The 24,295-nt window shown below is 32.7% G+C and overlaps 1 protein-coding gene across 42 annotated transcripts in view, besides 1 other annotated feature; it reads right to left on the reverse strand.

The window, feature by feature from the left end:
* SOX5 (SRY-box transcription factor 5) overlaps positions 1 to 24,295 on the reverse strand; it is a 1,033,147-nt gene that overhangs the window by 297,197 nt on the left and 711,655 nt on the right. For all 42 annotated transcript variants that reach the window (XM_024449159.2, XM_024449158.2, XM_047429458.1 and 39 more), the window contains one exon: positions 19,283 to 19,493. In XM_024449159.2, coding sequence (XP_024304927.1) covers positions 19,283 to 19,493 — 211 coding nt within the window. The remainder of the gene's footprint in view (positions 1 to 19,282; positions 19,494 to 24,295) is intronic.
* Positions 21,921 to 22,121: a silencer, noted in NCBI's record as "peak1611 fragment used in MPRA reporter construct". NCBI's record gives its function as "represses an SCP1 promoter by STARR-seq MPRAs in K562 erythroleukemia cells {active_cell/tissue: K562}" and the evidence as "EXISTENCE:reporter gene assay evidence [ECO:0000049][PMID:32103011]".

Consider the following 24,295-nt stretch of genomic DNA (forward strand, 5'->3'; position numbering starts at 1 on the left):
AAAAAAAAAAGTAGAGAAGGAAAACAGAACTCCAAATGGGAGAGGGTGCATTTTGTTCATTTATATGGCTTTCTGCTCCCAAGTCTTCCACATGACTAATGTCACACTGTGGTATGCAAACCTCTCAGGCAAATTTTTACAGACAAAGCATAACTTATCCGAAAAGAAAGGTCTAAGCAACAGAGATTTAATTCCGTGAAACAGTGAATCAATTCTTAACTATTAACACAGTAAATACCATAATAGGAGCACTGTCCTGCTATAATAAACAGACATGCTCAATTATTGTGTGCTTCTGCAGCTACTGATCTCTTCAGTAATTATACCATGCAATGAGCTCTACGTTGATATTATGTTAATGTGTGGGGAGGAGACAACTTAAATAATAATTAAATCAAGACTCAGTATTTCAGTGGAGCTTACATAAGGCCTGAGAACAAATGGTACATTTCTTAGAAGGAGTTAAAAAAGACATCTCGTTATCTGCTTCTAATTAAAAAGTTTACATATAAAAACTATCTTGAAATTCTAGTCTCTTAACTGTCCATTTCAAACAAATTAAACTGTCTATCATGTTTCATAATCACCTGTATTTGTCATATTCATAGCAATAAAATCTTCAAAAATTATTTTACATAGAGAATTTACAATAAAAAGAGAATGGTAAATTGAAAACTTTTTCTACAGAGACAAACAAAAGGATAAAGTTCAAGAAAAGTTCCTTACCCCTTTGCAGAACTGTCAAACAACTTCTATTGACCAAGAATAGCACACAGTAAACACACCAAACAAAAGAAATGATGAAAGATGTATTTACTTGTTCAGGGCCTTTATTTTTCTTTCTATTTCATATACACCCACACTGAACAGTCTGCATTGTGTTAATAAATAACCAGCAGCAACTAAGTGAACAGAGGAGGGTTTCGATGTTGCTGTCAGGTACCAGACAGTTGCTTGGCACTGCGGATACAGTTCTCTACATATGAGCTGCATGCTCACATAAAAGACAGAGGATATAGGTTAATAGATGGATCCTTTAAAATACTAAATGTGATGGAAAGAAAGGGATAAAAAGCAGAAAAGCAATAGCTTTTTTTTGTTTTTGTTTTTTGAATTGTCTACCTCTTTCAATTTGGGAAGGAGCAAATGAATTTTAAGTACCATGTCCTGCCAGAGCAATATTTCACCAGATTACTGGCTGTGTTTATTCAGAAATTTGCTGAACTATAACCTCAAACTCTTCAACATTTGGGAATTTATTATTATTTTCAAATGGTTTCTAATGTTGGCTCTATGATTTATTCCACATATAGTTAACTCTACACATAACAACATGAATGTCAATGACAGACCACGTATACATCAGGGGTCCCATAGATTATAATACCATATTTCTACTGTACCTTTTTTATGTGTAGATACACAAATACTTACTTTTTTGTTACAATTGCCTACCATATTCAGTTCAGTAACATACTGTACAGGCTTGGAGCCTAGGGGCGATAGGCTACACCATCTAGTTATGTGTAAGTGAACTCTATTACGTTTGCACAAGGGCAAAATCACCTAAGGACACATTTCTCAGAATGTATTCACATTGTTAAGTGATGCATGACTGTGTGTGTATGTGTGTGCACACACACACATGTATGTGTATAAAATTCAGATCTAATTATAAAATTCTAAATATATCTTTCTATATCATTTTTTAAAATACAAGAAGAGTGTGAATAACACACATGAATTGGGAATAAACTGCACAAACTCAGAGGTCAGTGTTTTAGAATTTACCTTATTTATGACATTTAATACACAAATAAGAAAAATATTGTGTTGTGTCAGTCTGTGCCATTTTCAGTATTCTGAGCTTATACTTCATAAAAGTTTGTGTTCAAATGTCCTGTGACAGCCCAGAAACAATCACAGTAGAAGTGAACTCATATATATGCAGTTATTATATCATACATGACTTCTATATAATATGTAAATAACCTTGGAAGCAATTAATATAAAAGATAGATGAATAGAAGTTGCTTTTCAAATTCAGGACATCAAAAAAAAAAAAAAGCACTTATTCTTAATTTCAAACAAGTTCTTCTCCTAAGCCTCCAAAGTTGGTCATCCAAAAAATGAGAGCAAGGAGCACAATCTGGCATTCAAAGATTATCAACATGTAAGATGGGCTATCTTAATCATCCAAAATGCCCAGGTCATATGCTCATCCTGTTCTGCCCTAGCCTCACTGCTCCTTCACGATGCTGGCCATATTTGTCCTCAACATCAAGAGTAGTTCAGATGGGTACACTGGGAGTCCTTGAGGTGTCAGAACTCTGGGAGCAGGTGGCAAAGGAAATTCTGAGTGAGCTCTCCACTGACTCTAGTGCTGTCCATGCCTTTCCCATAAACAACTCCTATTTAAAAAAAAAAGACCAAGCATCCACTAGAACCAACCCAAACAGGCCTATTTAATTAGGGCAAATGCTTGATATCCACTTCTTCATGTTAAACACACAGCCACACAGGCCTAGGAGGTCTGATTAATTTTAATATGCACGGTCCTGACAAGTGCCTCAAGGGTAACTGAGTGAAAAACACACATGCACGCACAGACACACAAAATCCTCCAGCTAGTCTTGACAAATCTGTTTCAGAAAAATGCTATGTATGCTGCCCAGATTAGAGTGTTACTATTCAGCAAGGGCCTGGACCTTTAATGTGAGGGAAAAGAGGCCTCAGAAACAGGTGGCTGGCTCTTCACTCTTGAATAAGTGATATCCCCAAAAGCTGTGGCACATAAGCAACAAGAGGGACTGGCACATTCTCCTCATGTTTATTTGCAAATGTAGAGTCTGGGTCAATGGGCCTTCTTTAAGTGATCTATGAATTGAAACTGAAAGTCTGGATATGCTAGTTTCAGTGAAGGACAAGAAAACAGGTACACCATTTATCTGAGGGACTTAAGAAGTACCAGAAATGCTTGGGTAAAGAGAGGTTTGGAATGACTTACATAGACCTGATAGTAGACAAACTAATGTATCAGCAGGAATCAAATAGATTCTTTTTTTATTGAGTCAAATAGCCAAATAAGAAAAGAATGATGGCTTGATTATTAAGAGAAGATGAAGAAAATGAAGGCTATAATCTTAAATATCATTACATTTTGTTAGCAAAAGTACAAGCTCTAGTTAAAAAGAAAAATAGAAGCTTTCTGGGACAAATGATTTTCTTATAAAGACAACACTGGTACTCAGCTCCAGGACCTGCTATATAAAAAGATTACCAAGCAGAATTTCTGAGCCTTTACAATCCAAGCCAGAGGTATTTCAGGAAAATATAATTTCCTATAACACTAATGAAATAAACAATATCAGCATAAACTGCTATGATGGATACCACTTGAAAAGGAGATGACAGTGAACAAGTTTCGCTTCAGTGTTGAAAAATTATGAGGCTTCAAACTCAGCTAACTCAGTGCTAAAGTTAAAACACTTATTCCTGAAGAAATAGGCTCTACAGCATTTGAGGGTGTCTTCTTGTCCTGACCTTTAAAAAATAAACTCTTTTCTTTATCATCATTTTATGAGTGTCGATTTCCATACAGTGGTGCTTTTGAAAAGGGTGCCTGGAGGTTAGACTCTAGCTTGCTCAACAAGAAGAGAGACATTTTTCAGTGACAGACTGCATAGATGAACACATAGCCACAATGCATTAGGAGTAGCCTCCAACAGCAGCGGGAGTGTGAGGAACAAAACTTAAAAGGGCTCAATTGAAAAGTACCCTTGTTTGTCCTTCAGTGGAACAGCACTTACAAAGCCTCTTCAACATGTACTTTGTCAAAAGGACAGTGAGTAACTAAACAAAAGCAACTCAAACCTCTGCCAATTAAAGTATCTTTAGGCTTTTCCCCTGATCCGTTCACTTTTTATTTTTCCCACCCCATCAAATGCGATTTTAAAACAAGAGTGAATTTCGAAGTGCCCCCTTTGCCCAATTAATGGATGCTTTGGGATTTTGAACTTAGGAAAGCCGATCTCCATAATTTCCCCATAAAAATAGTAATTAAAAAGTTGGTAAGATTAAGGGGTAAATCTGAAGCTCTAGTTTAACTTGCCTGTTGATGTAATATGGTTCAGTTTAATTTCTAAAGGGCTGCTCAACAACAGACATTTAAATTATAAGAACAAGCATTGTGATTTATAATGTAAACTCAAACATCAAACATGCAATGCCTGTAGGGATGTTCACAAGGCCAAATATCATGCACCAGGGGCCTGTCTTTGCTACAGAATAATTACATGTAATTCTGTAGCACAGCACAGATGAAAATATACTGCTAATAATACCTTCTTTAGCACCCATAAAATAAGTCTTAAAACAGGGAAATAAATTTTATATCTATTTAGAGGATCTAATGGTCTTATAGGTCAAAACATTTGTAAGAAAAATTAAAAAGACATTAACATAATTTCTGTAAAAAATACAAGTATCATAGAAGGTGCAATCAATTAAAGTGAATTATTTTTGTGACAGATGCAAATATCAAAACGATAAATGAAACAATAATGTTGATTTTTTTCAAGTTTTAAAAGGATAAATAATGAACAATGGATATGTTACTGTTTTGTTCATAAACATCCAGGAATAAACATAAAACTGTCCAATCCAGTCCCACAAATGGTACAGGTGGGATTAAGTGGGTGTTTTAGGATATTTGACTCCAAGAATTTGTATTGCATTGCACAGTAGGACAGAGAGGGACGGATGGGGGAATGTGAATGAAAATCCTGGTATTTCCTTTACCCAACAACGGTCTATAGTCTATAGATGATCCTGAGGGTGAAGGCTTGAGGTCTGCCACCATACATACCTTTTGAAACTCATTGCATTATTTGCATTAGTTCTCAGAAGAGAACTCTTTTTTTAAAGTCCATACTAAAGGCAATGAACTGCTTCATGTAAAGTAACACTAGGTAAGTTTGGTAATAAGTTGTGCCTTTAGGGTCTTGAAATATAAAATTGTGAGCAAAGATTATCTGAAGAAGTTCAGGGAAAAAGTTCTAGTTGTTTAAATAATGATAAAGTCTAGTTCTAGTAGAAACAAAAATTTCACAAATAAATGCAGTTTCTCACACACAAGGAGCACACTCATCATGGCAAAACAATTTTGGAGGTGTAGGCGTCCTGCTCAGAAGGAAGAACACTGACAGATACAGATGCTAAATAAAACCAAGCATATGTAGGATCTGAAAGGGGAACTACACACACACACACACACACACACACAGAGGCACATGCGCACACTCAGGCACACAAAAGGAAGGAAAAGAAAAAAAGTAAAGTGATGGGGCAGGGGGAATAAACCACGTAAAGGAAAGCTAAAATCTTAGAAAGTATGAAAATGTGGGCTTCAATTATATTTGTCTTCAGCTCATATTCACATTTACTGTGGAAACAGAAATATCACAAATCCAATGTTAAAACTGCCCCTCCTGGTTTCACACTGGTCACAAGTTTCAATTTAATCCCCATTAATTAAAAAAAAAATTTTGGAAAGTTGTTGTTCATTTAGGCAACTGCCCAACTACATATTTATTTGGGGAAATGTATATAAATAAACTTCAAAGTAACTACCTGTCCTAGGATTTTTATGACTGTTGAGTTCATTATTGTTCTTGTTCTTGACTACCTATCCTAAATTTCCAGATATTTGCAGCTCTGAATCCGGTGTTTCGGTATATAAAAGTATTCTGGGAAAGGAGCAGATTTTAACTACATAATATTAAAAATGTATAAAGGAGAATTATATTGAAATACATAATGTTTCTGGTATATCTAAAGTAACAATGTTTCAAGGTAGCCAGGGTGAAATAATGACAATAACTGGTACAATTCCAAGTTGTTTATAATTTACAAAGTACTTTGATATACATCACTTCATTTGTCTCCTTCAACAATCCCCTGATGAAAGTAGGGCAGTTAGCATTGCCAACTGAGGGCAGATATTTATTATATTAATACAATTATTATAGCAAATTAAAGGCAAGTAAATATATTTTTTTACAACGTAAATTACAAGGTAGATGCTCACTTTTAGGCAAAAAAAAAAACCCTTACTTTAAATTAAAATTTGCATTTCCTGCAAATGATGCAAAATTCAAGAACCAAAATAGATAAAATTATACCCCAAATATTGCTAAATATCTGTAAATTATCCCTTCAAAATTGATCAGAGACTAAACTACATAGATGTTAAACTATAATCACTTAGTAATCAGTGACAGACTCAGGACTGAAACTCAAACACTGAATACTAACAGTCTAATTACTCTTTTTACATTGTGGATTCATTTGAAAGCCAAAGTTGTGGATTATCTCCCCAAAAATGTACAAATACATATATTTTCATCATTTTGCAAACAATTTCCAGGATCTATAAAGCCTCTGAAGAAACTCATGAATCCTGAGTCTGGAAACTCTGCTACCTCTGAGGGAAGCTTGGAAGACTAGAAGGAACAGGAAAGGTCTTAACAGGAACGTTACATTTCTCTCACCGTATCCCCTAAGAAGAACTAGGAAAGGAGAGGTTGTGGAGGGAAAGATCCAATAATAAAATTGCCCCAATCTGGAGCCCATCATAAGAAATACAAACTGTCTCCCATACCAGCTCTATTTACCTAGAAAAGGGTGCTTGTCTCCATTATGTTGAAACACTATTAAAGAACAAGTTACAGCTTTAAATTCTAGAACATTTTTCAAAAATCAAGCCAATTCACTTCTCACTTTACCTATAGCAATTGAAGAGAATTATTATCTATGGCCACTAATCCATAGGTAACGTTACCATATCTTCTTAGAGAAGTATGCAGTATTAAAGTCATTTAAAAGATTAATGTAAATATAAAGTTTTCACTTGTATAAAAATCACTTCATGTGTGTATTTCAATTTTATATCTTGGGTATTAAAATATCTTGCTTTATGACCTAGGAGAATATTTTAACCTCTAAGTCACAGAAAAAAATGAAAAGAAATGATCTTACAATTCAATAAGGATAGGGGTATACATGTCAGAAGATTGGAGAAGATGGAATAAATGAGTCAAATAGGGAAGGAGGTAAAAGAAGAGTGTGAGGATATATTTAAAAAGAGAAAGGCAGAAATTGTTTAAAAAGACAAATTACACCTAGTCAGTTTGTAGGGGAGAGTTAGCAAGGCTACAAAATGTCAATTAGTAGGTTGACTGTCATCCACAGTTAAGAGAAACAAGCACCTCCAAAGTCCCCAAGTCAAGAACACTTTATTTAGACAATCACATGCTACTGTAGAAGACAGAATGTAAATAAACAATAATAATGTGGTAAGAACTATAGAGATGAGTTAGCATTAGCAGTGTAGACTGACTCGAATTCTGACAAAGTTGTTTGAGGATCATTGAGTCTTAAGAAGTGAATAAAAATTCATCAGGTAGGTAAGACGGGAAACGACATTTAAGGCAGTGGAACGGCATATAAAACAGCACAGTAATATTAAAAACAAAGAGTGTTGAGAGAACTGCACGTGATTTCACAAGATTGCATGACAACATGTACTTTGAAGAGTGGTGGAAAATAAAGTTAAGGGAGAACAATAGGGTAGAGTCAGATTACATATGATTTTTTAGTCAATGCTAAGGAATTTTTAGCTGATAGTACTTTTGTTCTAATTCAAGTTCCTCCATATAATAACACGAGCAAATCAGTAAGCCTCGTTTACTCATTTTTAAGATAAGAACTTATACTAATTTAAGTGTTTTTGAAGATTACATGAAACAGCCCACATTAACACCTGGCAGGAGAGTTGGACATTTGTTAAGGTCTCTCCTTTCCTTTACCCAAGGCAGCAAGAGGGCAACACTGAAGCAGTAGAAACATTCTTTTCACAAATATTTCACTTCCCTCAAAAGTAAGGAGTTTAACACTGCAGAAGACACTGACAAATAAATGGACAGTTTTATCTGAGTAAGGATAACAATGGAGGCAAATAACAGTTCTTAAAGAGGTAAGAAGGTGAAAATAGCTTGGAGGCAAGAAGAATAGACTTGTAGATAGAAGGGATGGAAATCAATGAAAAGTGAGTTGTGTCTGTTGTGGTTCTAGGAGGAAGAAACTTAACTGTGTGAATAAGCTGAAATGGCCATTTCAAAGAGATGCTGAAGGTGACAAAGACATGAATATAGAAAGATTAAAATAAGCCAGTTAAAATATTGTATCTGTAAGGATTTTATTTTAATTGAGATTTCTAACGTTCTTGACATGGTAAAAATTATTTTCACCTAAACTGTAATTAGCCTAAAGTTTGAATGAAAATCAAGTTTAAATCAGACTCCTCAATTTAACTGCTGATCCACATTTATGACCACTGCTGGACACCCGGAAGTAGAGAACACAAGACACTGAGGGATAGTCATCTACCTTTACTTATTGGCAAAATTAAGATAGTCGGTTGCCTTCGATTTGTTTAAATTTAATGAAATGGTCTTTAAAACTAAGATGGTAACACTATTTCTAAAATATAAAAAACAAAAGCGAGAAAAGAATATCTGAATGTATGATGTAACTGAAAGGGAAAAAAGGAACCTGGACCCATAAATCATGAAATGGATTCTTGCTTTAGATTTAACATCAACTGCTGTGTGATCTCAGGCATATATATCTCTGTCTTGGTCTCTCTCTTTCTACAGTGAGAATGGAGTCCTAAAATGTATCTATGTTTCACCCAAATATTTAATTCCTATTATTCCACAATTATTTCGCCCTCAGACATTTTTCTAAAATGAGTTTTTTCTTAAGGTACCCTCCAAGGCATTATTTTTGAGCAGTAAAAACTGAGTTAATCTCCCATTAAAAGTTTTCTGGAAAATTGATCTCTATTGAGGCATAAGAAATTTACTTTAGTAGAAAACTACTGATCACTACTATTATTCAATACTATTAAATATTTCAGATAATATATTATTCAATATTTAAAGTTTAGATACACATGTGTGAAATGATAATAGTAAATGATTATTTGGCAAAATCTCTCATTGGAAGGAATAGCAATAAGTATTGGTTAAGGGCATAGATTCTAGTCTAAGGTTGACTTTAGGCTGAAAAGTGACCCTGACTTGGTCACTTTAAAACATATTTAATTATCAGTTGCCTCATCTGGAAATGGAGATAATAGGAATGAGGATATTGAGATCATGTGAATGGTATTCCCTGAAACTGGAATGGCTATACACAGGAGCCCTGGTTATAAGGTTTTCATCGAGATTGAAAGAAGCATTTTATATAAATTATTTAATATTGCAGTTAATGCATAATATACACTTAATACATGGTAACAATTTATATATAGTAATTTATATATTTTAATGCATTTCCCTTCAATACATAATTATATATTCAATGTCTTGATAGAGGAATTATAGAAATTATGTGTCACATAACGTCATATTAAATTTCATTGTCACTCTTAACTGTTAGGTTTAATTGCTGAAGACCAACCGATAGACCATAATTATCACAAAATATAATGTAACTATGTTACATAGGCCAGATATTTAAAACCATGAATAGACCATGCACTTTAGCATCCCATTCAGTTAGAGTGACACTGGATAAATAAGAACAAATAAGAATCAGAGCTTTTTGTGTAATGACAGGGAAAACTTCTGATAGAAAAAAAGATGCAAGCCAAATATATCAATATATTATTCTCCTATTTATAAGTTGCAAAATATTTTAATTAATCACTTGAAAAATAGGCTGGCTAAAATGAAAGAGAGCTGTCTCTTCTTCAACCCATATGCAAATCTAATTTTCTTTGTAACCATTTCACCTCAGTGGCCTCCTTTTGTATGGTGCACTATTCTTTTCTAACTTCTGAATTTGTGTTAGTTTGCTGTTGGCAGGGGTAAGGTCGGAAATAATATGGACTTTCTATTGAAATCTGTGTTCCCCACCTCCATGAAAGGAAGCAAAGACATGAATATGGCACCCTCATAATGATTTAGCTGGGGCTTAATGAAATTTTCATCACAACCTGCTGTTCATTTTAATGGCCTTTGAAAAACAATGGCAAAAATAGCTTGAGGGAAGAAAAGATTTTTCTGTGGCATATATTTGTGAGCTTAACATTTAGTTACATTCACTCTATCTTTGCTTCCCTCATAGTCATGATGTTGTTCCCATTACAGAGCTATGAAAATATTTTGTAGTTTTTAGAGTATAAGTTTTTTAGTTATTTTGTCAGATTTACTCCTAAGTATTTTATTCTTTCTGATACTATGTTGCATCACAGAGCTTTGGAACATTTGTGCTGTACATAGTGTCACTGTCCTGATGCTTAGATGATGTAAGGTTTTGGTGACTATTCTCAGGTCAAATCATACCCTTTGATTAATGAAGTCATTGAAGCCAATGTAGCTTACCAGTTGTTGGAAGAGTCGTATACATCTCCATATATACATGTGTATATATAATATATTTATATTTATATGATATATAATATATATTTATATAATATATATTTATATTTATATAATATATAATATGTATTTATATTTATATTTATATAATATATAAGATATATTTATATTTATATAATATATAAGATATATTTATATTTATATAATATATAAGATATATTTATATTTATATAATATATAAGATATATTTATATTTATATAATATATAAGATATATTTATATTTATATAATATATAAGATATATTTATATTTATATAATATATAAGATATATTTATATTTATATAATATATAAGATATATTTATATTTATATAATATATAAGATATATTTATATTTATATAATATATAAGATATATTTATATTTATATAATATATAAGATATATTTATATTTATATAATATATAAGATATATTTATATTTATATAATATATAAGATATATTTATATTTATATAATATATAAGATATATTTATATTTATATAATATATAAGCTATATTTATATTTATATAATATATAAGCTATATTTATATTTATATAATATATAAGCTATATTTATATTTATATAATATATAAGCTATATTTATATTTATATAATATATAAGCTATATTTATATTTATATAATATATAAGATATATTTATATTTATATAATATATAAGATATATTTATATTTATATAATATATAAGATATATTTATATTTATATACTATGTTTATATTTATATAATATATATTTATATTTATATAGTATATGTTTATATTTATATAATATATATTTATATTTATATAATGTACATTTATATTTATATAATATATATACATTTATATATTTTTATATAATATATATTTATACTTATATATATTATATTTATATTTATATATATTTATACTTATATACTATATATTTATATTTATACAACATATATTTATATTACATATATTTATATTTATATAATATATATTTATATTACATATATTTATATTTATATTATATATACCCATTTTTCTTTCTTTGTAATTTAGAAAAACAAAGTTCTGTCAACATTCTACTATTCTTTTTTATGATACAATTTTTGCTTTGTTACTGTTTTTTTTGGTGATTAAGATCATTGCCTTACTCAAATACATAAATTACTCCTTGATGCATCTCTCCCATCATTGCAGTTATTAAATAAACGTTCTTGTCATAGCAAATTCTCAATAAAAGTGAGTCTATTTATAGTTTTGTATATTCAAAGTACATGTCAAAGAATCTTGTGTATGTAAACATCAATGCATCTTAGTGGTTCTATGTTTATGCTAAAATTACCTTTCTGAAACTAACACTTTTAGATGCTTGCTTTGTGCAATTTATATTCCAATCTTTCATAAATACTACCTCTGTATTTTCTCTTTGTCTTTATTTACCAAGTCACTCCTCAGCTCAGCTTTTAATATATTTGTAGAGAAGAAAGTACAAAAGGTACATTGTCGTAGGAAATAAAATAAAAACATTCTCATGTTCAGGTACAATAGTGACGTTTCTTTGTGTCTACATTTCCTGCTATGGACGCGCTATTGCTCTATTTCTTCTTTTATACCCAAGTTGTTCTTACTAGATATTACCCTTTTCTAATTCCCAGTAGTTCTTTTTTTTTGGGGGGGGGGGGCGGGGATGGAGTCTCGCTTTGTCACCCAGGCTGGAGTGCAGTGGCACCATCTTGGCTCACTGCAACCTCCACCTCCGGGGTTCAAGCGATTCTCCTACCTCAGCCTCCCAAGCAGCTGGGATTACAGGTGCCCACCACCACACCCAGCTATTTTTTTTTTTTTTTGTATTTTTAGTAGAGACAGGGTTTTACCATGTTGGCCAGGCTGGTCTCAAACTCCTGACCTCAGGTGATCTGCCCGCCTTGGCCTCTCAGAGTGCTGGGATTACAGGTGTGAGCCACTGTGCCTGGCCCCCAGTATTTCTTAATGTCTCCTGCTAAGAAAATTAGGTGGGGGAGGTATCTATCTCCTGTGCTCTTTCCTGTTGGGACTTACTCATGGGGATTGGCATGTCATACACTTCCAAATTAAGAGTCTATGTATCCACTTAGAAATCAATATGATACATTGGGGAATACCAAGGCCATATACCATATTTCCATGGAGAACATCATCTAAAGCTGAGCCCCCAAAAGCTACTTTTAAAATACAACACATACTCTCACAAAGCTGGTTCTTGGTAGACCTTAGCCCTGAACTCTAAAGGCATCTCAAATGAAAATCAAAAATTAACATGAGAGGGAAACACTTCCTAACTCATTCTATGAAGCTGGCAGTAGCAACAAAAACAGATAAAGACATTACATAAAATGTAATGGTATATCTCATAAACATAGATGTAAAAATCCTCAATAAAATATTAACTGATCAAATCCAACAATCTATCAAAATAACTATAAATCATAACCTGGTAGGATTTATTCCAAGTTTGCAAAGCCTGGTTTGGCATTTTAAAACCATATCAACGGTCTAATGAAAAATAAGCATATATCATATCAATAGATGCAGAAAAATATTTGACAAATTCTAACAATTACTCATAATAAAAACTCTCAGCAAACTAGGAATAGAGTGAGGCCTTCTCAACTTGGTAAAAAAAAAAAAAAATTACAAAAATCCCGCAGCTAACATCATACTTAATGGTGAGAATTAGATGCTTTCCCCTTTATAATCAAGAACAAGGCAAGGATGTCTCCTCTTACTACTCTTACTTACTCAGCATTGTACTGAAACTCCTAGCTAACTCAAGAAGACAAAAAAAAAAAAAAAAAAGAAAGTGCACATCTTTAAAAGGAATAAGTACAACTGTCTTTGTTTGCAGATGACATGATTGTCTACGTAGAAAATTTCAAGGAATCAGTAAAAACTACTAGAGCTAATAGTGAGTCCTGAAAGGCCAAAGGATGCAAGGGGAATATACTACAGTCAATTTCCCATATTTCAGCAACAAACAATTGAAATATAAAATTAAAAAGACAATATAATTTATATTTACATTTAAATTTTTACATCAAAAAAGAAATAGTAGGTATAAATGTAACAAAGTATGTTTAAGATCTATATGTGGAAAACTACAAAACTCACCAGGAATCATTAAAGATACTCATAAATAGGGAGACATTTTATGTTCATGAATATGATAACTTGGTATTTTTAAGGTGTCAATTCTTCCCAACATGATCTAGAGGTATAACACAATCCCAATACAATCCAAGTAAGTTATTTTGTGGATATCAACAAATTGATTCTAAAGTCTACAAGAAAAGGTAACAGACCCAGGACACCAACACAATGTTGAAGAAAAAGTAGAAAGTTGGAGGGCTGACACTACCCAACTTCAAGACTTATTATCAAGCTACGGTAATCAAGACAGGATGATACTGGCAAGACGATAGACCAACTGATCAATGGAACAAAATACAGAGGGCAGAAACAGATCCACACAAATACGTTCAATTGATCTTTAGCAAGGAAAAAGGCAAGTCAACGAAGAAATAATGGTCTTTTGAACAAATGGTCTTGGAATAATTGGACTTCTATATGCAAAACAAAAACAAATTGAATGAATGCAGACACAGAACTACTTTTTACAAAATTTAACTCAAAAGGGATCACAGACCTAAATTGCAAAATGAAAAACTACACTAACTTCAAGAAGACAAGATAGGAGAAAATCTAAGCGACCCTGGATTATGTGATGATTGCTTACAGACATCAAAAGCATAATCCATGCAAAACAATTAATAATTAGATTTTATTAAAATTAAAATGTTTATTCCTCAAAAGACAATGTTAAGACAATGCAAACACAAGCTGCAGACTGGTAGAAATATTTGTAAAACACATTCCTGACAAAGAAGTTGTATACAAAATATACTAAGAACTCTAAAAACTCATTCACAAGAAAATGATTCAGTTAAATCAAAAAAAGATCTAACCAGGCACTTCATTAAAGGCATATAAGCACACAAAAGATGCTGAACATTTCTTAAAATTAGAGGACTACAAATTAAAACAAGGAGATACTACTACACACCTATTTGAATGAATAAAATAAACTGACAATATCAAATTCTGATGAGAATGTGGAACAATAGAAACTTACATTCATTCCTGGTGGGAATGCAAAATCTGATAGCCACTTTGGAAGATAGTCTGGCAGTTTCTCCCAAGGCTAAAATATAATCTTCTCATAAATTCCAGCATTCACATTCCCCAATTGGGTTGAAATCTTATGTCCACATAAAAAGCTGCACATGAGTATTAATAGAAGCTTTATTCATAATAACCAAAAGCTGGAAGCAACCAATATGTGCTTTGATAGGCAAAAAGAATTGATAAAATAGTGGTATATTCATACAATGGAATATTATTTACTGATACAAAGAAATGAGCTATCAAGCTATAAACAGCCATGGAAGAACCTTAAATTACTAAGTGACAGAGCCAGTCTGAAAAAGCCCCATGCTGTATTATTCTGATTATATGGTTTTCTAGGAAAGGGAAAACTATACATGGTAATAAGATCAGTGATTACTTGGGATTCTAGGGAAAAAAGCGGGATGAATAGGTGAAACAGGATAGTTTGGAGTGGTGAAGGCTATTCTACATGATACTGTCAGTGGTAAATGACAATATGCATTTGTCAATGCATACTGCATTATACATTGTACATTTCTATGCATTTGCACATATAAATGTATAATACAACATAATAAGTGAGCCTTAACATAAGCAAAATTTTAAAAAATCATAGAGGAGTGTGAGGGACACCAGTAAAGAATACAGAACTAGTTTAACTGTGTTAAAAATACATGAAACAATTTCACTGAATGGGGTAGGGGAAAAGTAAGTTAGTAAGTTACCTTAGTAACTTTGGAAATGAATGGAATCTGTAAGACTAAAAGCAAAAGGACACATACACTGTTCTCTAGTTGAGAAAGATATTTCCTATGGTAGTAGCAGTTAATTATTCTGATACTCTTCTACATGTATACTAGAACTGAACAATTATATAAATTAATGGTGGTTAGTAGGAGCCATATTTCTCACTGTTGGGGTGGAAATGTACAGATCAGTAAGAAATGAAGCTGCAATAATCCATGCAAAAAAGGATTCCAGTTAGAGACATTAGTAAGAACTCATGTTCAGCTTAATATAGACAAATATAGAAATATTTATAGATATATACATATATAGGTTAGTACACACACATGTATTTTCATTGCTCTGTCTGCTCAGAGGCCCTCAAAGGAACGATACGTCAGAAGCAAGGGATATACTCTGCATTCAGATCTTGCATTCTAATATTCTCCAATAAAAGGAACCAGAGATTCTTGGAGATATGGATGATTCTAGCACTGGAGCAAGAAATATACAAAATGAATCCCCAATATCTTACAGAGTCAGAAAGAAAAGAAGTGCTAAACTAATAATAACAATCATTACCACAAGCACAATAGTGGTATTAAATGACACCCAAAATATAAAATAAATATTCGTGAATTCATACTGATGTAAAAAATGATTGAATGAAACAATAAATGGTAGAGAAGAGATAAATCTCCCATGTAGAAAAATGCAAATATTATGTAGACAATCCAGCTCTAGTAACATAACTCCCTATTCCGTAAGTGTGGCTTGTACAGAGCTCCTCCGCTTCAAACAGTATGGTGTAGAAAGGGGACAGAGAGCAAGTTTATCGTGGAGAAACTTGCAAAACACTACTTGAGCCAATGATCAAGGCCAACACCAACATTCTTAATTACATAGAAAGTATGTAACTGACATGAGGTGAGAAAGATGGTATTTTACTTCTGTGGTCTTCCTCCCAAATCTCCAAATCTCATCTGATTGAGACAAACATTAGACAAATTCCAATAGAGAGATATCCTGCAATATATCTGAACAGCACTCCTCAAAACTCTGAAGGTCATGAAAAACAAGGACATTCTGAGAAGCTGTCACAGCCAAAAAAAGCCTAAGAAGACATGACAACTAAATATAATGTGTTACCCTTGATGGTATCTTAAAACAGAAAAAGCACACTTGGTGAAAACTAAAGAAGTTTAAATCAACTCTGGACTTTAGTTAATAATAATGTATCAATGTTGGTTCATTATTTTAACAAATATACCATACTAATGTAAGATGTTAATAAGAGAGGAGACTGTATACGGATGGAATACATGGGAACTCTGTACTATCTGCTTAATTTTTCCGTAAATCTAAAACTGTTTTTAAAAAAAATAAAGTGAATGTATAAATTACAATAGCAAATCATGGCCATACTTCAGAATATTTGACAGTCATTTCTCCTTTTTTTTTTTTTTTTTTTTTTTTTTTGAGACAGAGTCTCGCTCTGTTGCCCAGGCTGGTGTGCAGTGGCCCAATCTTGGCTCACTGCAACCTCCCCCTCCCAGATTCAAGCTATTGTCCTGCCTCGGCTGCTCAAGTAGCTGGGACTACAGGCACACACCACCATGCCTGCCTAATTTTTGTATTTTTAGTAGAGACGGGGTTTCACCATGTTGGCCAAGCTGGTCTCAAACTCCTGAACTCAGGTGATCCACCTGCCACGGCCTCCCAAAGTGCTGGGATTATAGGCATGAGCCACCGTGCCCAGCCTTGGCAGTTATTTCTTTTCAAAGTATATTACTTGGCAGAAGACACACTCATACTATAATTCTAAATGAAATAGGAAGCACAATATTTTAAAAGTACAGATGCTCCTAGACTTATGATAGGGTTATGTCCTTAAGCCCTTTGCAACTTGAAAATATCATTAAGTAAAAAATGCACTTAATTCAGCTAACCTACTGAACATCATAACTTAGGCTTGCCTACCTTAAACTTGCTCAGAACACTTATGTTGTTAGTCCACCACAGGGCAAAATCATCTGGCAACACAACGTACTGTGGAGTATCATTGTTTACCCTCTTGATTGCGTGGCTGACTGGGAGCTATGGCTCCCTGCCGCTGCCCAGCAATGAGAGAGAGTATCCTACTGCATACAGGAAAATATCAAAATTCAAAATCCGAAGTATGGTTTTACTGAATGTGTATTGCTTTTGTACCATCTTAAAGTTGATAAATCTTAAGTGGATCCATTGTAAGTTGGGGACCATCTGCATAAAGCTAATCATAAAAAATTAGCAGAATATATGAAAATAAACACTAAAAAACACATCCTAAGGTTAAGAATCCTATTAACCTCATATTAACATTATAAGAAAATAAAAATCACCTGCAGCCATGACTTCATGCAAAAAATTACAATGCAATCAAGTCTATTAAAATATCAAAAATATCAAAAAAATTCAGATAAGATATCCCACTTTGTATGTCTGTAACTTCCTACACCTTTCAAAGAGGAAGAAAAAAGTTTTTTAAGTTTAGCATATTTCACAAGTATTCTAAACTCAGTTACTGAAGCAGTATAAAAATAATTAAACATTATTGCTGTTTCACACAGGAATAGCTATGACTTCAGGTGATTTTTATTTTCTTCCTTATAATGTTTTATGTTTTTAAAATAATTATTATAAAACTGTCTTATTTTTAATATTAGGAAACAATCCACCATTTTAAACACATAAGGTTGTCTGGATCCCCCTCAACACTGCATTTTTATCTCCATGAGAATAGGAGGACATGTAACAAAATATCCAAAATCTTTGGCTGACAAGAATATCTCTAAAATTCTTTCCAATTCTCAGATCATGAGAACTGCATAAATTTTAACCAAAATCCAGGTCCCAGTTATGCACTTGGTAGGGAACCAGAAATATTTAATTGTCACATGGCTGTCACATATACAGGATAACAGAATTTTGTGTCAGATATCCTGATAATTTACCAGTGTCCTAACAGACTAGAAATGAGCCCAACTTATTGTTACACGGTATACACGCAGTGTATTTTTGTTATAAAGTATGTCTGCACATCATTGTTTATTTGTTTTAAATTTCCATCTGATTGAAACAGGAGGCATGTTCTTGTGTGCAGTATGGCACCCATGCTTAGGATGGACAGAGGTTTAAATAGGAGTTAGTAAGCATGTGTAACATAAAGGATGATTGTCAATTATGCATAAGTTTGTACAATTTGCAACAGTTATTTTATTGGCTTGTTTGCTTTAATTTTAAGATTAGTCCATTTGCCTATCACCTGAAGGTTCCTATCAGGAACTATTAAAGAGATTTAGAGGATAAAATCTTAAAAGAAAGACTTTCTGGAAGTTGAACAAATAGGAACTTAAGCATATCTAAAAGTTAAAGAATCACTAATTTGTAAGTATATAATAGTCCTAACCATATTAATTTTTGACTATACAAGAAACAGGATAAGATGTATTAATGTGTAAAGGTTACAAAATGTAGTGAAATTCTACATTAATCCTCAAGGGAAAAAAAAATGGAGAGAAACAAACTAGGCTGCAGATATTTGACAAGCAGGTGACTATTCCCGGCTCTGCTGCCACATTCTATTCTTGAATCTTTTTCATGCAACTAATTTACTCATATGTGAAAATAACATCACAACATAAATTAATGATTTAAAAAATTGAGATAGACAGGGCTAAGTGTTTCTGAAAAAAATATACCAACCGTCTTCATAGCAATAGGTTTCCATCTTGCCCAATTTAACTTTAAGAGTATAAATCAAAAAACAAATCAAGAAATTAAAATCAAAGTATTAAAATCAGGACACAGCATCAACTTTGTTTTCTCTTCCAGCCTTTACCTTCCGGCTCGTTTTTGATGAGCTCTTCCATTTTCCTCTGCTTCAAGGTGTCAACAACATCAGCTAAACTGCCCTTGCGCCGTTCAGGAGTTCCCAGGGCTGTACTAGACAAGGACTCGCCACTCTGTCGCCCACCTTCTTCTGCCTTCTGAGGTGAGGTAGATGAGTTGTGTGGGGCAAATGAAGACATAACTTTATTGCCATCAACTTCCTGAAAGAGAAAGCAAAATGACAAATAATTGTTTACCTGAAAGAGAGAGCAAAAGGACAAATAATTGTTTACCTGAAAGAGAAAGCAAAAGGACAAATAATTGTTTAAAATTCAGTAACTTTAAAAAATTGGTTATATGGCTTATTCAGCTGAAAGATTAAAAAGTGAAATGTCACTCTGCAAGAGGCAAAGAAACCAAGAAATTTCAAAAAAGAATAAATTCAGTTTTCATGGTAGTACTAGAGTAAGTCAAAGATCTATTCAAAGGAGAAACCAAATATGGAGATTCTCTCCTTTAAACTGAGTATAAATGACAATATAGTCCTATACGAAGCCTATATTATTAGATTTGTTTATTTTCCTGCTTTTGTTTGAGAGCCTCAGATTTTCTTATGGGTATTAAATGTAGTGATCATTTGTGTTAAACTTCCTGACTTTGTAATATTTAAACAAATATCATTACACACAATTTATGTTCATTTTCAGTAGCTGCCTCTTCTTGATAATACTCTAATAAAGTTTTAGTTTTTCCACCTCCCTCTCCTTCTTTTAAGAAAGCATCCATCACACAGGTTATTTGACATCAGACAAGAATATTCCAAGTTCAATTCTGCCTATGATGAAGACATTTTCAACTTCATTTGTTACATGAAGCACAGTTTGTCAACACTCTTTGCTATTTTGTATTTTAATCCTCATTTGCCCTATAAAATAAGGTTTGTTGCAGTTTTTGCTTCTTCATAGTCATGTGGGTATGTGAATAAAAATAATTTATTGTATGGTTCTAAAATGTAAATATCTTTTTATAGTCTATTGTCATTTTCTCACATATTCTAGCACAAATCTGGTAATTTGTATAATATTTGGGGAATATTTTGTATAAAACATATTAAGGTGATTTTTTAGAAATTATCAGGAGGAGTGATAATGAAATGATAAAGAAAAATTAATTTTCTTACTTAAAGATTTTCCTTGTATAGTCTCTTACTTCCATAATCCTTTACCTCTCACAAAACAGACATCTTAAACATAAAGCTGTATCCTAAGATCTTTGAGACTCACACTAAAAATATTTCTTAATTCTACAACATTAAAAGTTCGCATTAAAATATATTTGAATGTGTGCCTATTTAATATTCAGGATATTAGATTATACCTGTTTGCACATTTCTTCTCTACCTATTTGAGACACAGTAATACAATCTGTTGACTTCCAAAAAGTAACAAATCACACTGATTGATACTCAATATTTTTAAGGTTAATGCAATATTTTGGACTAGCTTAAAAATATGCTAACATACTTGGTTTAAAAACCATCAGTGTAATTTTGAAAAATAGATTAAAAATAGATACGTCAACACAAACATAATCTGTTAATATGTTTTTTTTTGTTGTTAAGATATTAGTGAGTACAGGGACAACAGGCTATGTTACAAACATCAGTTTGTTGCATGTGGCTGAGGCATGTGGGGAAGGCGAAAAAAAAAATGTGCACAACAGAATCTTCCAAATTATAATTCTAAACCTCAAATGGCTTTCATTTCTCACAAACATTACAGAATATGCCTCTGACTAGCACTATGCCTTGAGTGAATATTTTATGGACAAAGTAGCTTATAACATACTTGGATTTAGAAATCAATGTACAAAATGTAACAATTACAAACTCCCGCACGTTAAGTGAAGGTACACTTCTGGAATTATTAAAACCTACATAAATATACAAACACATAAACACACACACACACAGAGCCCTAAAAAGAGCAATCACAAATTCATTCAGTAAATTAATAGGAATGTTTTTATGAATGGTCCATAACACACATTAGCTTAGTTTCATGTGCAAACAGAATATTGCGAAACCTCTGTACTAATTTTCCACAGAAGATCTTCCTTCTTATTTCTTTCCAGGACCAAAAGCAGAAACATCCCAATGTTAGCTACACTTTGAACATTTCTGTCTGTACTCTGCTTTCACATTATATGATGACAAACTTTAGAAACAATAATTGGGCAGCTGACCTTTAATTGCCATAATTGAAAATTACAATGAAATCAAGTCTATTAAAATATCAAAAATATCAAAAAATATCCAGATAAGGTATCCCATTTTGCATATCTCTAACTTTCTACACCTTTCAAAGAGAAAAATAAATGTTTTAAAGTTTAGTATATTTCACAAGTATTCTAAACTCAGTTGCTGCAGCAGTATAAAAATAAATTAATTAAACATTATTGCTATTTCACACAGGAATATTTATCTTACCACTATTTCACCTGCCTGATTACATTTCAGCCTCTGGCACTGTTAATCTCCTTAACAGTTTTATGTAGTTAACAGCTGTTTCAGTGTGGGACACTGTTGTTCATTTGCATGGTGAATAGCTTGTTAAGGAGTGCTAGCACAGTCTTCAGTCAAGGAAATCCTATCTTTTTCAGAGTTCCTTCCCTGGGATTGCATTTGTCATACATGAAGTAATGATTCCATGTGTCACTTCACTTTGCTGGCAGGTGAAATCAAGAGAACCAGCTAACATAAGCATAAGTGGTCCAGACCAGCAATATCTATTTAATCAAGTTTTGTGAATTCTAAGGGCATACCAGTACTTTGCAAACAAGTTCCCCAAACTGTGATATACGACCTCTAAATTCTAATCATAAAAGAGGTCTCTAAACTTTCAGAATAAAGTTGATAATCTTCCTTTGTTATTTTTGAACAAGTTTTGCTTAACCTTACCCCTTTTGTTATCTTTGCAACCAATAGAAAAAGGATCTGCCTAACATAGCTGTCCTCATTAAAATATCTTTTTAAAACTGAATTCTTGTTAATTCATTTTAAAGACAGAATATTGCTATGAACACGTCGAAAGAAATATTATTTCAACCTTAATATTTAAACTCTATATGATGTGCTAATTAAGAAGAATTAACTCATTTTATAAAAGAAGAGATTATATGAAATAACCAGATACATGTGTTTCTTTTATTATTCAAGTGACATTTCATCCTTGACTTCTGGCCTTAAGAAACATGTTATTATGCTTACTTATTGGCCTTATAAACTGAAATTAAGTTCATACTTAGAAACATTACATTAATATTCAATCTATCAGACAGTAATTGATAAGAATGATAGCAAATATTTATTGAATACTTTGTATTAGGCACTGCGTAAAGTGCTTTACATGTATTAACTCAATCTTCATGGCAAGCCTGATTATAATTTCCATTTCATAGCTGGATAAACTGAGGCAGAGAGACTGAAGCACAGTATATGCTCAAGGTCACATAACTACCAAAAAGTAGAGTGAAAAATCAGCCCCAACCTATTGGGCTCCAGAGCCCTCATTCTTAACCATAGTGCTATTATACCTCTTTCATCTATGTCTGTATCTACCAATGTTAAGGGTGAACAAGACACTTGTCTTTTTAATAAGTATGAAAATGAGAGGTTTCCACTGAAATACGTTCAAGTCCTAAAGAAAACAAATGAGATATATGCATTTAAATTAATTAAATCAACCACATTCCAGACTTATAAAGCTCTGTCCATCCAAATATCTACTGGTTCATGTCATATTTTTTAAAATAAATTTTAATGTTTAAAGAATTATTTAAACCAAATATATAGATTTATATTTCTACATGACTAATCAGAGTAATGGTACTCAGTAGTCTATGTTTTTATAACTATCTTTATAAAATTTGTGAGCATCTCCAGCATCCTTTCCAGTAAAATTAAGTTTTCAATTTAGAAAAAAGCTAGTACAGAAGATCTGGACTATCATCAATTAGATTCTCATGAATGCATGTTCAGTAATTTGGGTATTGCATAGAGGTAGCATAAGATGAACTACAGATACACAGAGAACGTACTTTGGTGCTCAACAAGTTTTGACATAGTCATGTTCCTCTTCCAGCAACGGGTTGTGATTTATAAAATATCACCAGGATGGCTGGGCATTGTGGCTCACTCCTGTAATCCCAGCACTTTGGGAGACCAAGGTGGGCAGATCACGAGGTCAAGAGATCGAGACTGTCCTGGCCAACATGGTGAAACCCCGTCTCTACTATAAATACAAAAATTAGCTGGGCGTGGTGGCGCGCACCTGTAATCCCGGCTACTCTGGAGGCTGAGGCAGGAGAATCACTTGAACTCACAAGGTGGAGATTGCAGAGAGCCAAGATTGCGCCACTGCACTCCGGCCTGGTGACAGAGTGAGACTCTGTCTACAAAAAAAAAATAAATAAATAAATAAAAAAAAAATAAATAAAAAATAAAAAAAAAATCACCAGGAGAAGGTAAAACAAAACTTCAAAAAATATCTTGAAAGCTATAATATTTGGCTATTCCTTAAATTCCATCAAAAGAGGAAAAAAATATACCTTATAACAAATGTTGAAACTAAATTTCACTACTTGTAATCTCTTCTGCCAAATTAGGAGGTACCAAATTGAATTTAGTTATAGAAAAAATATAATTATTGTCTAAAGAGCTCTTTCAATTATTTCTCAGGTTATCTTGATTAAAATAATTTTTCATAAAATGTCTGCACGAAACCCTAAACCACACTTACTCCTTTGGGACTACCGATCCCTTGAAGATAGCTATAAATGCTATTTTAAACACATATGCACATGCATAAACACACAGACACACACTCATACAATTGCACGCACAATTTCATATAGTTTTACAGAGTTAATTTTATATGTTCATAGTTCCAGTTATGAACCTCCCCTAGGAAATTCGCTATGAACTCTTATGAACCATGGATTCCAGGTTAAGGAATGTATACCT

This window comes from Homo sapiens, chromosome 12 (genome assembly GCF_000001405.40).
Source record: "Homo sapiens chromosome 12, GRCh38.p14 Primary Assembly".
In the NCBI taxonomy this organism is placed as follows: domain Eukaryota; kingdom Metazoa; phylum Chordata; class Mammalia; order Primates; family Hominidae; genus Homo; species Homo sapiens.